At 35.5% G+C, this 18040-nt stretch overlaps 1 protein-coding gene across 50 annotated transcripts in view; it reads left to right on the top strand.

Moving 5' to 3' along the window:
* The window catches only part of MYO9A (myosin IXA), a 296310-nt gene that overhangs the window by 240666 nt on the left and 37604 nt on the right, over window positions 1-18040 (top strand). For all 50 annotated transcript variants that reach the window (XM_047432576.1, XM_047432553.1, XM_047432585.1 and 47 more), the window contains 2 exons: window positions 2097-2144; window positions 15324-15435. In XM_047432576.1, coding sequence (XP_047288532.1) covers window positions 2097-2144; window positions 15324-15435 — 160 coding nt within the window. The remainder of the gene's footprint in view (window positions 1-2096; window positions 2145-15323; window positions 15436-18040) is intronic.

Below are 18040 nucleotides of genomic sequence, written 5' to 3'. Positions count from 1 at the left end.
AGAAAAACATTACAGGGAACATGTCAACTTAGCGCCACTTTAGATCCTCCAAACTTCATTCTGTCTTATAATTTATCAGACCATATTTTCTAAACCGTCTGTAATCAATACTTTGTTCACTGAGTTAAAACATAATGTTCTGCCCTCAAGATTATACTCTTAGCTTTAATAGAGATCGGGGTGGGGCGGTGGCTCATGCCTGTAATCCCAGCACTTTGGGAGGCCTAGATTGGCAGAGAACTTGAAATCAGGAGTTCGAGACCAGCCTGGTCAACATGTCAAAAACCTATCTCTACTAAATATACAAAAATTAGCTGGGCATGATGGCAGGCGCCTGTAATTTCAGCTACTCAGGAGGCTGAAGCAGGAGAATCACTTGAACCCAGGAGGCAGAGGTTGTAGTTAGCCAAGGTCACGCCACTGCACTTCACCCTGGGTGGCAAAGTGCGACTCCGTCTTAAAAAAAAAAGAGATAAGTATCTGAATTTCCTTTTGAAAAATTATAGTTAAAGATGTGATTCATTGTATTACCCAGTGGCCTCTTTATAAAAACCTACAAATTATATTTATTCTTGAATTAGGTTTTAGGAAAATACGTGTTTTGGGAAGTCTGTATAATAATAATAACCTTTTTATTTTGAGTGCCTGTTACGGCCTGAGAATCGTACTCGGTGTTGTGTATTTTATTTAATTCTTGCTTCAGCCTTATTAAATAATTTTTATAAAATCCATATTACAGAAGAGACATCAGGCTTAGACAAAGTTATCAATGTGTTTCTTTTCAGTACCCCAGATGAAATAATTAGATACCTATTCATATCAAGAATACCATCAATATTTTGTATTGATTATGTTCCATTTTATTTTTAGTTATTCTACCTTATATGTATTTAAATTTCCAAAACCTCTTCAATCCCATTTTTGAAGTTTTCAGATATAAATAAGTTCTGGACAGTTCTTCAGTTCTAGATCTAGGTTAAGGTCTTTATGCTGAAGAAGATTCTTAGTAGGCTTCTACTACGTTTGTTTTTAAGTTTAAAAGGTTGGGTTTAGATTGTTCTGTACTATGGTTATCAGGAAATGTCATATGGAAAAGAGTTTTTCCGTGTCCCAAATGTTGCCTTTTTGTATATATTTTATATTTAGCTCCATGGTAGTTTTCTACAGCTAAAATACGGGAAGTAAAATCTTTAAAACAATCAGCTTGGCACAGTGGCTCATGCCTGTAATCCCAGCACTTTGGGAGGCTGAGGTGAGCAGATCACAAGGTCGGGAGATCGAGACCAGACTGGCCAACATAGTGAAACCCCGTCTCTACTAAATATACAAAAATTAGCCAGGTGTGCTGGCACACGCCTGTAGTCCCAGCTACTTGGGAGGCTGAGACAGGAGAATTGCTTGAACCTGGGAGGTGGAGGTTGTGGTGAGCCAAGATTGCACCACTGCCCTCCAGCCTGGGCAACAGAGCAAAACTCCGTCTCAAAAAAAAAAAAAAAAAAAAAAAAAAAATACCAGCCAGGCGTGGTGGCTCAAGCCCGCAATCCCAGCACTTTGGGAGGCCGAGGCGGGTGGATCATGAAGTCAGGGGTTTGAGACCAGCCGGTCTCAAAAAATACAAAAATAGCCAGATGTGGTGGTGTGTGCCTATAATACCAGCTACTCAGGAGGCCGAGGCAGGAGAATTCACTTGAACCTGGGAAGCAGAGGTTGCAGTGAGCCTAGACTGCACCAATTGCACTCCAACCTGGGCGACAGAGCAAGACTCCGTCTCAAAAAAAAAAAAAAATCAATTAATGATTAAAATAAAACAATCATTTAAATTAATATGGCGGTGGCTTCTGGGCAGAACTGAGGTTTAAAAAAGAATAATCTCTAAAGTATCCTTCCATTCTGTTGCTGTCATTGGCAATTATGTTTTATCAGATTTTAAATTTTTTCTCACATTTGCTTATTAGCACTGCACAGTTCCTCTTGGAGAATAAAGAAATGACTATTGTGTTACCTGTTGAGCAAGTATCTTAACATTTGCAATGAAGTAAGAAAGTATGTTAGTCTTTGTTATCACAATTTCCATATATCTCCTGTCCCCCTGTCAGGTGCCAAAAACAGAAAGAAAGAAAAGAAGGAAAAAGGAAACTGATTTGGTAAGTTATAATCTGTTTTTTAAATTAAAAAAGTAATTTTCAGATCAGTTGTCTGAGGTATATCATACAATATATATGTGGATATATTTATGAAATAAGTTTATCAGGTACCTAGGCAATAATCATATTTATATCTTTACAAAAATTTAGAATGATTAGATGTGACTGGACTTGTTATCAATGATAGCTTCCTAAAATGGCAGAAAACTGAAATTGTTTACTCATGAAAGAAAAAATATTATTTCTTTTCAGAACTAGGGGTGGGGAAGGAGCTCTTCAGGAGTTTTCTCTCCCTTCTAAAGAAAACAGGGGTTATTTAGGATTTTACAATTATAAATACTTTCAATTCAAAAGACATTTCTGAAGGCATTTGAACAAATTTTATCATTGTTCATGTTTATATACAATCACACAATATATACAATCACACTTTTTCACGCTGACATGCTGACATGTATGAGGTTCTTTATTGAAGAGGACTTTGTAAAAGCAAAAGACTGCAAACAACCTAAATATATAGGGAAATGATTAAATAAATTAGACACATCTATATGATATATATCCAATATATGATGTTATCATATATACATCATATACACAACATCATTTATAATATCTATCATATATATAATACAATAGATAGAAACATAGATACAAAATATATATCACATATATATTATGTGGTTTATGATAATTTGTGCAATTACAAGGATGAATTAAGCCCTTAAGGTGTGCATAATCTACAAGTGGAGGCAGTAAAAAGTTTTCAAATTATTACTGTCAGGTATGATAAATATTATAGTAGGAATAATACAAAGTGCTGTTGGATACAGAAAGGGGAAATGAAGGAATAGTTTACAGAAGAGAAAAATACTTTTGCTAATTCTTGACAAGTGAGTAGTGGTTTAGACAGTCAATATCTAGCCATTGGGAAAAACAGTATGTACAAATGTGTGTGAATGAAGAAGCTGCTATGTTGAGCCAGTTGCTTTGATTGGCTTAAGTGTTGCATGTTCATATGAAGGCGTTTGGGAGGAGTCTGATCAAGACTCTACCTTCAAAATATTTTGAATACCTTACCATTTCACATCACCTCCACTGCTATCAACAGCAGTCCGATGAACTATGAGTCTCATACTGGTCTACCTTCTTATACTCTTCTCCCGTTATAGTTCTCTATGTAATAGCCATAGTTACTTTTTAAACATAAAAATCAAATCATATCCTTTCTCTACTCAGAACTGTTTAGTGATTTCCAGTGTTTGTCAGAATGAAACCCAAAGTTCTTACCATGCCTACAAGGCTTGACATGATCTTGAGCGTGACTGCCTCTCTAAGCTTCATTTCCTCCTACTCTCCCCCTGGTTCCTTCTGTTTAAGCTACATTTGCTGCCATCACTTCCCACTTCCCCTCCTCCTCCTATCGTCTTTACTTTCTTCTGGAAACTTTAAACTTTAGGGCCTACAAAACCTGGATTCAACCCTGCCAAAAATTGCAAATTCTAATTGTAGAATATTTATCATCTACCTTACTAATATTCAGGATTATAAATCATCCCCTCTTGCTTGTAAACAAAATTCCCAAATCTTTTTACATCCTTACTTGCAGCTTTTCCACTATCTGTGTTAGAAGTGCGATCTGACTGTTTTATAGATTATTTGCCTATTGCGAAGTTTCTGCCTTTTCACAAGTACAGAATTTTGAAAGTAGTATACCTAACTCCTTAGCCTGGTTTGCTTTGGTTTTCCAAGAGGATTTTCTCATTGAGAAACACTGGACAACTTAAGCTCTGAGTCTCAATGTCCTCATCTGTAAAGCAGGAATAATGCCACCCACCACTGAGATTTTTGTGAAAATAAATGAGATTGTATACAAAGGAAAGGATAGGGAAGACAGAGAACCTCTTACTAACAGATATGTTTAGGCACTTTATATACTTTAAGCCTTAAAAGATTAGTTATTCATATCAATAAGGGAAAGAACAACACTTCAAAATAAAAATGTACAAGCATATGAATACATTTATTCAACAACTATTTTATTATAATTCAGGAACTGTAATAAGTGCAATTCATAGAAATGTCTAGAAATACACAAATAAATGTTTATTAGCAGTCAAATTAAAGTGAAGTAACAGTGATTTTCTACTTTTTCCATCATTGAACAAAGCTGAAAATAAATTAGTTACCTAGAGTTTGGAAACATAAGACAGATTTTTCAATAATACAAATAGGAGTGTAATTTGCATAATCTTCTTGGAGAATGTACTTTAGCAATGATGTATTAAAAACCTTAAAAACGTTAAAGGAAAAAAAAAACTGACCCAGCAATAACATACCTAAGAATTTGTTTAGTAGGCATATCAATCACACTTTTTCACAGTAACATGCTGACATGCACGAGGTTCTTTATTGAAGAAGAGTTTGTAATGGCAAAAGACTGAAAACAACCTAAATAGATTGGGAAATGATTAAATAAATTAGATACATCTATATAATAGGATGTAGCATAACATTAAAGGAAAAGGGGACATTCACCAAGATGTTTTGTTAAGTAAAAAGTACAAGGGCTGGCCAGGCGCGGTGGTTCACACTTGTAATCCCAGCACTTTGGGAGGCTGAGGCAGGTGTGGATCACCTGAGGTCGGGAGTTCGAGACCAGCCTGGCCAACATGGCGAAACCCCATCTCTACTAAAAATACAAAAAAAAATTAGCCAGGTGTGGTGATGGGCGCCTGTAATCCCAGCTGCTCGGGAGGCTGAGGCAGGAGAATCGCTTGAACCTGGGAGGTGGAGATTGCAGTGAGCCGAGATCGCGCCACTGCACTCCAGCCTGGGCGACAGAGCGAGACTCTGTCTCAAAAAAAGAAAAAAAAAAGTACAAGGGCTAAACACTGTACAGAAAGCTACTATTTGTGCAAAAAAAGAAAAAAAGTACAAGGGCTATAAACACTGTATAGAAAGCTACTATTTGCATATGTTTTTAAAAATTTTAATATCTGTACTCACACACAGACATATACACACATATAAAATATCTGGGAGTATACTGATAGCAGTGATTATTTCTATAAAGAGGAACTAGACAGCTGGGGTACAGAGACAGGAAAAAGACTTATTTTGCTTTGTGTACCTTTTGATCAGGGGTTTATATTATATCCATTCAGAATAAAGTAATTTTTAAATTGATATATATTTTACATATTTTGGGGGTACATGTGAGTATTCGTTACATGAATAAAATGCGTAATGATCAAGTCAGGGTATTTGGGGAATGTATCACCTTGAGTATCATTTCTGTGTGTTGGGAACATAGCAAGTCCTCTCTTCTACCTACAGAATAAAGTAATTTTTAATGAAAATTTTAATGAAAACAACTTTAATATTAGAGTTTAGTAGAGGAAAATAACGTTTGTGTGATTTATAATTAGAAGGATATCTGTGAGAGAAGATGTTATTATCTGGGAATATTTGAGATACCATAGAGCAAGGCCATATTATGAAACTAGGATGGATGAACCATGAGTTGAAGTATTTTTTTTCCTTCCTCCCTTGATTTTTTTTAAGTTAGTTGATTATTTACTTAATTTCTTAAGAAAAAAAATGACTGCCAATCTTTTTGTGCCATTATGGTTTGATACAGGCAATGGTGTCAATCAGGATTAATGGCATTCTTGGTCTAGTTCTGTTTTATCATCATAAATTTTGAACTAAGTTTTTTCAGTTGAGAAAGTCACATAAACATAATTTGAAATTATATACATTATAAAGTAGACCTCTTTCCCAGCCCTTCTTCCCAGAGATACTGTTACCAGTTTTTTGGTGTTATTCCAGAAATACAGTGTCCGTATAAAATCATTTATATATAAATGATTATATATATTTTATACACATATGTATTACACATACATTCCTCCTCTGTTTTCAGGATATTCTGAGTGGAATTATGTTGTTACTTTGTTTATAGTAGATTTATTTACTACTAATTTTAATTCCTTTAAATTCTTTATGCTACTGGAGTTTTTTGTCCTTCTTAGATAAATTATTTACATAATTATTATCATTTTTTTTTACTTTCTTCTTTCTTTCTTTTTTTTTTTTCTTTTTGAGACAGGGTCTCACTCTGTTACCTAAGCTGGAGTGCAGTGGCATGATCACGGCTCACTGCAGCCTCACAACCTCGCCAGGCTCAAGTGCCCTCCCACCTCAGCATCCCAAGTAGTGCACCACCATGCCTAGCCAACTTTTTTGTATTTTTTGTAGAGATGGGGTTTCACCATGGGGCCCAGGCTGGTCTCAAACTCCTGGGCTCAAGCAATTCACCTACCTCAACCTCCCAAAGTACTGGGTGGTGTGAGCCACCATACCTGTCCATTCATACCTTTTTTCCAGTACATTTTCTTTCTTTCTTTTTTTGAGACTAGGTCTCGCTCTGTTGCCCAGCCTGAAGTGCAGTGGCGTAATGACATCTCACTGCGGCCTTGACCTCTTGGGCTCGAGCAGTCCTCTCATCTTAGCCTCCTGAGTGGCTGGGACCACACGCACACCTATCATGCCTAGCTAAATATTTTTTCATTTTTTGTAGAGATGGGGTCTTAGCATGTTGCCCAGTCTGGTCTCAAACTCCTGGGCTCATGATTCTCCTGCCTCAGCCTCCCAGAGTGCTGGGATTACAGGCATGAGCCACCACACCTGGCCTAGTATGTTTATTATTTCATTTTTTCCTACAAAAATATTTAATCATTCTTGAATTTATTTTAGTCTCAAGATCGAGTTATGGACCAAGGCACCAAGGGATGATGCTTTTTTTCTTTAATAGTGTATCAGTTGTCTGCCCACTGTTGAATGATATATTTCTTTTTCACTGGTTTGAAATACCATTTTTATAGTACAGTTGGCCCAGCACATCCATGGGTTCAACCAACTATGAATCCAAAATATTTAGAAAAAGAAATTCCACAAAGTTCCAAAAAACAAACTTGAATTTGCTGTCCATTGAGTGAATCCACACAAATGAAGTGATGTATAGGCATTGTATTAGGCATTGTAAGTAATCTAGATATAAAGTATATGGAAGGATATGCAGATATGTCTAAATAATATGCAAATACTGTGCCATTTTATATAAGGGACTTCAGCATCTGCATTTTTGTATCTGCAGGGGGTTGCTGGAACTAATTCCCCACAGCTACTGAGAGACAACAGTATACTCAAATCTTAATGTATTTGGATTTAAATTTTTAGTCTCTCTTTTTATTCATTGATGTGTTTATTCTTGTATCAGTACCAAATCTCTTAAATTACTTTTTATTTTATCAAATATATATGTACATGTATACCCCTATATACACATGACTCTAAAAAGTCTTAAAGGCTATTGTTGCATATTTTCCAGCTTAAATAGAAACAATTACTATTCCCTAAATATATCATTCTTTTTTTTGTCTTTGCTCAGTTCTTTGTATTCATCTCAAGCATTCCCTCTGTGACACCTTTTTTCCTATGGAACCATTTAATTACTCCTTTCTTTGTGCTTCCACTATACTTTGGAACTTTTACCACTTTTTTTTTTTTTAACCACTTTTACCATGAAAGTAATACAGACTTTCAAAATCACTGCTTCAGGTCTCAATTTCTTGATTCCCATCTTAGCTTGCAGGACAGAAAAAAGGACAAGAGAGCCCATAATGTTAGGCATGGCTTGGAAGTGTCACTCATCACATATGTTCACATTTCATTATTCAGAGCTACTTATGCAGCCATTTATAGATGCAAGAGAAGCTGAGAAGTAAAGTTTAGATAGATTGTCACATGCCCAGATAGGGCTTGGGAAATCTGTATTTAAGGAAGAAACAAAGAATGGATATTAGTAGGCAGTTAGCATTCTTTTCCACAACAAGTTCATGCCAGTTCCTGACACATAGTAAGCATCTATAAATGTTTAATTGAATGAGTAAATGTTGAGTGACTTGAAAGACTTTCATGGTCCCTGCTACACTACTGTCCAGCCTTATTTTTCATTACTCTCTACCAACTTGTTCTAGCAGCTGTAATTGTCTCACTGTCCTGGATCAGTTCTTTTTGTTTCATTTTGGTTTTGCCTTCCTTCCATTCCCTCCTCTCCCCTTCTTTTTGTTTGACATAATATAATTGCAGTGTTATAGAAAAGTTGCAAGAGAAGTACAAATAAACCGTATCCCTTAACCCAGATTTATTTAGATTCCACCATTCATCCCACTATTGTTCCTTTTTAACAAGATATTTGTTACACTTAATTGTTATGCCTTTTAAATCTCTTTTAATCAAGAACAGTTCCTTAGCCTTCTTAGTTTCCGTGACATTGGCATTGTTGAAGAACATAGGTCAGTTTTTTTAGAGCATGTTTTTCCATTTGAGTTTGTCTTATATTTCCTCATGATTAGATTCAGATTACACATTTTTGGCATGAAACATCACAGAAGAAATGCTGTGATTTTTCATTGTGTGGTATCAGGAGATATATGATATCTATTTGTCCTATTGTGGTTGATATCTGCAAGGTTGTTTCAAAAAACTCAGCAAAGATACTATTTTCCCTTGTAATTATTATCTTGTGGGGATATACTTCAGACCATGTAAATAAGTGTCCTCTTATTCCTCAAACTCTTACTAGTTTTGTTATTACTTGATGATTCTTGACTGAATCAATTGCTGTGATGGTTGCTAAATAGTGATTTTTTAAAAATTCCATCAGTCATTCTACATTTATTAGTTGAATTTTTGCTCTAAAGACAAGCATTCCCTTTTTATTTATTTAGCTCAAAGGAAGTGCCACTGGACAAATTTGTGATAATTAGAGCATCAAACTAAATGAGAGTAGAACTATTGAATAAAAGAAGAATTCCTTAGCCTGCACTGATATAATTTATTTTTACAGTGTTTTTTCTAATAGATATATTTTTACCATTCAAACTTTTTTTTAAAATATATATACTGAGAAGTCTAACTCCAACCCCCTTTGTCTTCTAGTGGTAAATTTTTGTTATAACTTTCTAGTGTTTCTTTCTCCAGTATAAACTTATTTGCTATCCTTTCTCACATAAAATGTAGCATGTTATATAATAACAGCTAGTACTCTTTTGTGCTTTGCTTTTATCATTGAACAATATATTCAGAAGACCCTTCTCTGTCTATGGTAGGCAGAATTCTAAAGATGTTCCCTCCAAGGTTCTTGTCACCTGGTTATTCATTCACACATAATCTGGGTACTGCTGTGAAGGGACTTCACAGATGGAATTAAGATGGCTAATCAACTCACTTTAACATAACAGTTTATTTTGGATTATGCAGATGAGCCCAGTGTAACCACATAGGCCCTTAAAAGCTGAAGAGGAAGACAGAAGAGTCAGTAAGAGAGATGAGGTAGAAGATGATGCAGGAGACATAGGTAGTAGAAGACAGAGAAATACAAGCATGAGAAGGACTCAATCCTCTTTTGATGTCTCTGAAGATGGAGAAAGGAGGGTGTTGAGCAAGGGAATGTGACCGGCCTCTAGAGGCTGAGAACAACTACCAGCTAATAGTCAGCAAGGAAATAGGACCTCAGTCCAACAACCACATGGAACTGAATTCTGCCAACAACCTGAATGAGATTGGAAGCAGATTGTTCCACAGAGCATCCAGAAGGGCACACGCCCTTGTCAATATCTGATTTTAGCCTGGTGAGACTAAAAGTCTCTGACTCTGAGAAGCGTCAGACTTCTAGCTTACTGAACTGTGAGATAACAAATGATAGGTGTTGTTTTAAGCCACTGAATTTATGGTAATTTGTGGCAGCAGCAATAGAAAACTAATACAGTAGCTATACACAGAAATCTATTTCACAACTGGCTACCATTCCTTACCGGACTATTAGGCTGCTTCTAGTCTTCTGCTATTACAAAGAGTGAACAATGAATAACCGTGTGTGTGTGTGTGTGTGTGTGTGTGTGTGTGTGTGTGTGTGTGTGTGTGATGGATTCCCAGAATTGAAATTAGTGGGTCATAGGGTGAATGCATTTGTTATTTTGATAAATATTGCTTCATTTCTCTGTAATAAAGGTAGTCTCATTTTGTAGTTTGTATCTCTACACAGTTTTTATTTGCTTTTCTCATACTGTCAGTGAGATTGAGTATCTTTTCTTATACTCAAGTACCATTTGCTTTTTTTTTTTTTTAACTGCAGTCTGTTTTTGTTCGTTACTCATTTTTCTTTTGGCTTTGGTCTTTTCCTTCTCAATTTGTAGCAACTCTGTACATTAGAGAGATTACCCTTTGTCTGTGATATAAGTTGAAAGTATGTTTTCCTGGTTTGTCAGTTGTCTTTTCACTTGGCTTATTATATTTTTTGTCATGTGGAAGATTTTTAAGAAATTAAACTTGTGAATCTTCTTTTTTCATAGCTTCTGAATTTTGAGTCATAGTTAAGACTTTCCTCACTTCAGGGTTATAAAGGAATTCTCAGTGTTTTCTTCCAATAATTTAGTGGTCACATTTTTTACATTTAAATTGCGATCTTTATGGAATTGTCCTGGTGTGCAGTGTGGGATATGAATCTAATTTTGCCTCTTATCAATGGCTACCAACATCATTTATTTTAAAGTCCGTCTTTACTCATCAACTTTGAGATGTCACCCTTTTTACATTCTAAATTTCCCATTATGCTTGTTTTGTGTGTGTGTGTGTGTGTGTGTGTGTTTTGTTTTTTGTTTTTTTTGATACAGAGTCTCACTCTGTTGCCAAGGCTGGAGTGCAGTAGTGCAATCTCGGCTCACCACAGCTTCCACCTCCCGAGTTCAAGTTATTCTCCTGCCTCAGCCTCCTGAGTAGCTGGGACCACAGGTGTGCGCCACCACGCCTGGCTAATTTTTGTATTTTTAGTAGAGATGGGGTTTCACCATGTTGGTCAGGCTGATCTCAAACTCCTGACTTTGTGATCCACCCGCCTCGGCGTCCCAAAGTTCTGGGATTACAGGCGTGAGCCACTGCGCCTGGCCTGCTTTGATCTTTTTTATCTTGTTTCATTAGTTGATCTAAATAGTCGTGAGCCATTCCAACTATTTGATTGTCTAGTTTGAGCAGAAAAAAGATCTATTAGTACTTCTATTTCTATTACCTTATATTTATAAATTAATGTAGAGAGAACTGACATCTTTATTATTTTGAATCTTTTCTTCTGATTAAGTCTATTTTTGTGTCCTTCAAGAGGGTTTTAAAGTGTTTCATATACAGGTTTAAAAAAAAAAAACTTCGTGTTACATACATACATTTATTTATTTAAGAGATGGGGTCTGTTGCCCAGACCAACCTCAAACTCCTGAGCTCAAGTGATCCTCCCACCTTACCCTCCCTAGTAGCTCAGACTACAGGCACACACCACCATGCCCAGTCATGTTACACTTACTATTGAGTGTTTTATCTCAGCACGGATAATCACTATAGTTAACAGTATAACATATATCCTTTTGTACTAGATCATTTATAAACATACATAGTCTGTATAAACTCGAGTCTAGTTTATATATGATCCAGCGTTTCAAAGTGTGGTCTACAGGGGTTTCTGGTAGACTTTTAGGGGTTTTATGATATTACAACTCTTTTTGTAATAATAAAACATCATTTTCCTTTTTCATTGAGTTGACACAAAAGCAAACATGGGTAAAACTGCCATCAACGTGAATCAAGGCAGTGCCTGCAAACTTTGTTAATGGGCATTATAATTTTTACAGTCACACACTCATAGTTTAAGAAAAATAGAGAAGCTTTACTGAAGAAGGTGAAATAATAAAAACGTTAATTATATTAAGTTTTGATTCTTGAATTCACATCTCTTTAATATTCTGTGTAATGAAATGGGAAAGATGCAAAACCATGATATGATGGTTGTCTCAAGAAATTACTTGTACAATTAGATTGCAGGCTGATCTAGCATTTTTTAAAACTGAGATAAAATTCATATAACAAAATTTAACTATTTAGCCATTTTAACTACGTAAAGTGTGCAATTTAGTGGGTTTTAGTATATTCACTATGTTAAGCAATCATTACCACTATATAATTTGAGAACATTATCCCAAAAAGAAACTGTACTTTCTGAGCACTCACTCAATCCCTCTTCTCTCTTCCTCTGAGCCCCTCACAACCACCAGTCTACTTTGTCTGTATGGATTTGCCTATTCTGAAATTTTCATATTGACTTAAATAATCATATATATGGCCTTTTGTGTCTGCCTTCTCTCACTTAGCATAATGTTTTCAAGGTTCATTCGTGTTGTAGCATGTGTCAGTACATCATTCCTTTGTAAAGCCAAATATTCTGTTGTATGGATATATAACATTTCATATATCTGTTTATTAATTGAAGGACATTTCAGTTGTTTCTACTTTTTGTTTGAATAATGCTGCTATGAAAATTCATGAACAAGTTTTTGTGGCAGCATGTTTCTAGCCACTTTTTTCACAGAACATTATTTTTACTTAAACTATTCATTAAGATTTTGGCATATGCAGTTATCCTGTCACTTCAAGGAAAACAACTGACAATATTTATTACCAGTAAAACTTGTGTATTCAAGCAAAAATTCAAATTTTGGAAAACTTGTATCTGCCAAGTTTTCTAATGAGGTCAGTTATAAAGTTAAGGACTATGACTTTCTGCTAGTGTATAATGAAATGTGTCAACATTTGGAAGTTTAATTTAGTGAATCAGTATATTCCAAATGATCAACATGTACCACTGTAAAATCATATACAGGTTAAATGTCCAAATACAAAATAGACCAATTGGTATTGTAAACCAGCTTTCTGGAGGTAAATTTACTTACCACAAATTTATCCCTTTTTATGTGTACAATTCAGTGATTTCAGTAAATTCACATAGTTTTCCCATCATCTCAATCCAATTTTAGAAAAATCCCAAAAGGATTTTTCATGCCAGTTTACAGTCACTGCTCTTTACTAGCCTCAGGCACTATTACTCTACTTTCTGTTTCTATAGTCTTACCTTTTCTGGATATTTCATGTAAATAGAATAATACACTGTGGTTTTTGCATGTGGCTTTTTAGCATAATGTTTTTGAAGTTCATCTATATCATTGTGTTTATCCATAGTTCAGTCTTCTTTAATGCTAAATAGAATTCCATTGCATGGATATGTCACGTTTTATTTATCCTTTTATCAGTTGGCAGACATTTGAGTTGTTTTGTATTTTTGGCTACCATGAATAATGCCACTATGAACAGTTACGTACAGGTTTTTTCTTGGACGTACATTTTCAGTTATCTTGTGTATAAACCTGAGAGTGGAATTTCTGGGTCAAGTGGCAACTCTATGCTTCCAGTTTTCAGAAACTGCCATGCTGTTTTCCAAGTGACTGCACCACTTTACAATCCCACCTGCAGTACCTGAGGGTTCTAGTCTATCCACATTCTTACCAACATTTGCTATTGTTTACCTTTTTTGTTATAGCCATTCTGGTAGGTATGAAGTAGTATTTCATTGTGGTTTTAGTTTGCATTTCTTTGATAACTAATGATGTTGAACATCTTTTCATGTGCCCATTGACCATTTGAACGGCTTCTTTGATGAGCTGTCTCTTCAGTATTTTGCCCATTTTTGAGTTGGGTTGCCTTATTATTGGGTTCTAACATTTCTAACATAATTACATAACATTCTAATATAATGACTAGAAGTCATTTATCAGATATATGATTTGCAAATGTTTTCTCCGAGTCTGTGGTTTATCTTTTTTTCTTAATGGTGTCTTTGAAGGTTAAAGTTTTAAGTTTTAATTAAGTCCAAAACAATAGATTTTACTGTCATAGGACAGGAAGGGTTCATTGGTTATGGTATTTTACTTAACTTTTAAGTTACCATATGTAAAGTTTTGGTGCCGTATTACTATCTGAAAGGACTGTTAAAATATTACTCCACTGACTCGGAAGAGTGAGGGGGTGTGAGGGGGATGGATGATGAGAGATTACTTAATGGGTACAATACACGTTATTTGAGTGGTCGATACCCTAAAAGCCCTGACTTCACCACTATGAAACCTATGCATGTAACAAAATTACACTTGTACCACATACATTTATACAAATAAAAAAATTTTAATTAAAAAATTATATTCCTTCATTTTCCACTTTCATATCTGTATTAAGCTAGATTTTCTTTATATATTTCAAACTAAACTGCATATTGCAACAGATTGAGTGCAGTAGTAGATGTGAGAATCCAGGTGTCTTTTGTTAATCCAGACATTAAAGAAATTTACAAAAATGTAAAACAATACCCCTTTTGCCACTATTTTTTTTTGCTTTAAAGATATAGTTGTTTTTAATTAAAATGTTATGTTCATGTATAATACATTTATTGTTCATTTTAAATAAATTAATGAATATATACTTTAAATTTTTTTCAGCTTTAATTGCTAGCATAGTAAATATTAACAGGTATAACTCATGTAAACAAAAGCTCTCTGAGGTCATCAGTAATTTTCAACTGTAAAAGTTTCCTGAGATTACAAAAAAATATATATTTTAGCCAGGCGCAGTGGTTCACGCTGATAATCCCAGCACTTTGGGAGTCTGAGGCAGGCGGATAACTTGAGATCAGGAGTTCAAGACCAGCCTGGCCAACATGGTGAAACACTGTCACTAGTAAAAAAAAATATATACAAAAATTATCCAGGCGTAGTGGTAGGCGCCTGTAATCCCAGCTATTTGGGAGGCAAAAGCAGGAGAATTGCCTGAACCCAGGAGGCGGAGGCTGCAGTGAGCTGATAGCACCACTGCACTCCAGCCTGGGCAACATAGCAAGACTAAGTCTCAAAAAAAAAAAAAAAAGCCAAAAAAAGAAAAAGAAAACATACTTTGAGAACTGCTGCTTTTAATGTAACATTAGAGTCATGTAAGACAGCTATTATATGTCTGTTGCATTGCTTTCTGTTTTTCATATAATTTGGTCATGTTTATCTAGATTGTTAGCTTTTGGAAAGCAGGAAAAATATATTTTATTTTATGTTATTTCTCAAAAGATCCTAATTGTCCCCCTGGAATTAGTGCCTAGTGAAGACTTAACAAGAGATTGAAGGATTTCCCACCACGTTAGGGCAGCATTTACTGTGTTGGCTTTAATATAAGTAGCTAAATTTTTTCATTCAGGTGGAAGAACACAATGGTCACATCTTTAAAGCCACCCAATATAGCATCCCTACATACTGTGAATACTGTTCTTCTTTGATATGGATAATGGACCGAGCCTCTGTTTGCAAATGTAAGTATGAGAGATCTTTGAGGAATATTTTTAACCACTGACATTTCTGTTTCCTTGAGTTGTCTTATATCTCCTTTAACATAAAGGAGTTATTTACACTACCTAAATTTTTAACCTCATCTCTTGCTATACTCTCTTCACCTACTCTTTGTCTCTAAACCAGATATTTTGATGTTATTTGGTCACTGAGAGTCTTGTACATGTAATTCACTCTGTCTAAAATGGTCTTGTCCCAGATTTTAGTATGACTTAATATTTCAATTACTTCATGCCTACACTCACATCTCACCTTCTCAGAGAGCTCTCTTTTCTACCCCCAGTTTAAATGCCACCTTGTCCCCAAATTCGCTATTCTTTTTTTTGTTTTTGAGATGGTGTCTTGCTCCATCGCCCAGGCTGGAGTGCAGTGGTGTGATCTCAGCTCACTGCAACCTCTGCTTCCCAGGTTCAAGTGATTCTCCCTGCCTCAGCCTCCCGAGTAGCTGGGATTACAGGCATGTGCCACCATGCCCAGCTAATTTTTGTGTTTTTAGTAGAGACAGGGTTTTGCCATGTTGGCCAGGCTGGTCTTGAACTCCTGACCTCAGATGATCCTCCCGCCTTGGCCTAAAGTGCTGGGATTACAGGCGTGAGCCACTGCGCCCGCCCCTCCAGCCTCCGAAATTCTCTGTTCTTTCACTTAGACTTAATAGTCTTTATAGAACTTATTACCACCCAAAATTACATTAAGTATTTGTGTTCTTGTTTTTCAGTCTACACCTCTAAAATATATGCTCTATAGGTCAGGAAACTTATTTGTTTTTTTTTTTTTTTTTTTTTTATATCATCAGTGCCTAAAACGGTGATGGCACATAGTAAGTTTTAATAAATATTTGTTGGTTAGATAAACCTATAGATGGATGGATGGATGGATGGATGGATAAATGAATAAATTAGATTACAGTCAAAAAGGTACTTTTTCTACTGTAATCCTTTTAGCAGATTACAGTAGAAAATATAAATATATAAAATATATATAAATATAATATATATATTATTTTACATATAAATATATATCTAAATATATAAATCCTAAAACGTGAGTAGAGATTCTTTGTAGATCAACTTGGTTCTGGCTTACAGTGAACCTTTAGCCTCCACTCATCTTATTTTATACATCTGCTCTGGTGCTATTATTAGTTCTGTGAAGCTTTGCTTTTACTAGTGGGCTAAAATTGAATGAAGCAAATACTAGGAAAGGACTGGAACCAATATGACAGCAGTTTGCCACAGAAAAATTGCCACTATTACTATATATTTACTTATTCCATGGTTCAACAGCAGTTTTGCTTTGGTTTTATTATCAGTAGTCTAAAAAATTATAATGAGTCTGAAAATAGGAAGTAGTTTGTAATGTATTTGACCCTTTAGTGTAACTATGATTCTTGTAGGTTTAGTTTCTTCTGTAACTTAAAGCTAAAAATTTAAATAATTTTCTTTTTTATGACTATGTTGGGCTGGTTTGATTTTTTTTTTTTTTTTTTTTTTTTTGGTGAGATGGAGTCTAACTTTGTTGCCCAGACTGGAGTGCATTGGCACAATCTCAGCTCACTGCAGCCTCCGCCTTCCAGGTTTAAGTGCTTGTCCTGCCTCAGCCTCCCAAGTAGCTGGGATTACAGGTGCCCACCACCATGCCTGGCTAATTTTTGTATATTTAGTAGAGACAGGGTTTTACCATGTTGATCAGGCTGGTCTTGAACTCCTGACCTCAAGTGATCCACTCACCTCGACCTCCCAAAGTGTGCTAGGATTACAGGCATGAGCCACTGTGCCTGGCCTGATTTGATTTTTTAATAGAATTAGCTAACTTTCTTTGTTGTTATCCTGATTATTTCACCAGTACAATGACATGGCCTCCCTTACTTGATCTTGGCCTTCAAAAGCCTACAAGTTATATTTTACAAGCTCAAGAAAGGATATTCAGGTATTGGTACACAGAAGCCAGAGCTAGTGTAACAAAATGACATAAGCCAGCTGTGTTCTCAATACCTTCCTCTAAATGTGCCTCTTCCTGTTCACCAGCTGCCCAGCTACTCTGGGTTATCACCACTCCTCTAAATTATTTTAGCTCTGAACATTTTCTTTATCCCATCTTCCCAATCACAACTCAATATTCTTCATGTTCTGGTTCTTCAGAGCTCTGTTCTGAACCTTTAGAGATCATAAATAAGACCTTTCTTATATCTTAAACTGTGCTACCCAATTAGTTTTCATTTCAGGAGGGATCTTTGACAGTAATGCCTTCCTTATCTATAGGAATGATTCTTAATAGGCATTTCTGAGATTTTAGTATGTTGTAGAGCATATATGTGGTAGAACATGAACACTAATTTGTGAATCAAACCACAAAGATAAGTATCCTGCTGGAATTTGTTGGGGAGTGGTACTGTATGGCATAGGGGCAGGATGAGCAGCTTTGAAAGAACAAAAAGCTTTTTCATTGACTGTGGCTAGAAATTTTGATCATGTTTTCAACTTCATTATACCCAATAGAATGGGTTAAAATTCTTTTTAATTACACCATTGTACAAAGTATGTATGTCATATTACAGCAGTCTGAGATTTA

Source organism: Homo sapiens, chromosome 15 (assembly GCF_000001405.40).
Source record: "Homo sapiens chromosome 15, GRCh38.p14 Primary Assembly".
Lineage (NCBI taxonomy): Eukaryota > Metazoa > Chordata > Mammalia > Primates > Hominidae > Homo > Homo sapiens.
The sequence above is the reverse complement of the archived record's forward strand: the minus strand, read 5'-3'. Positions and strand labels throughout refer to the sequence as shown.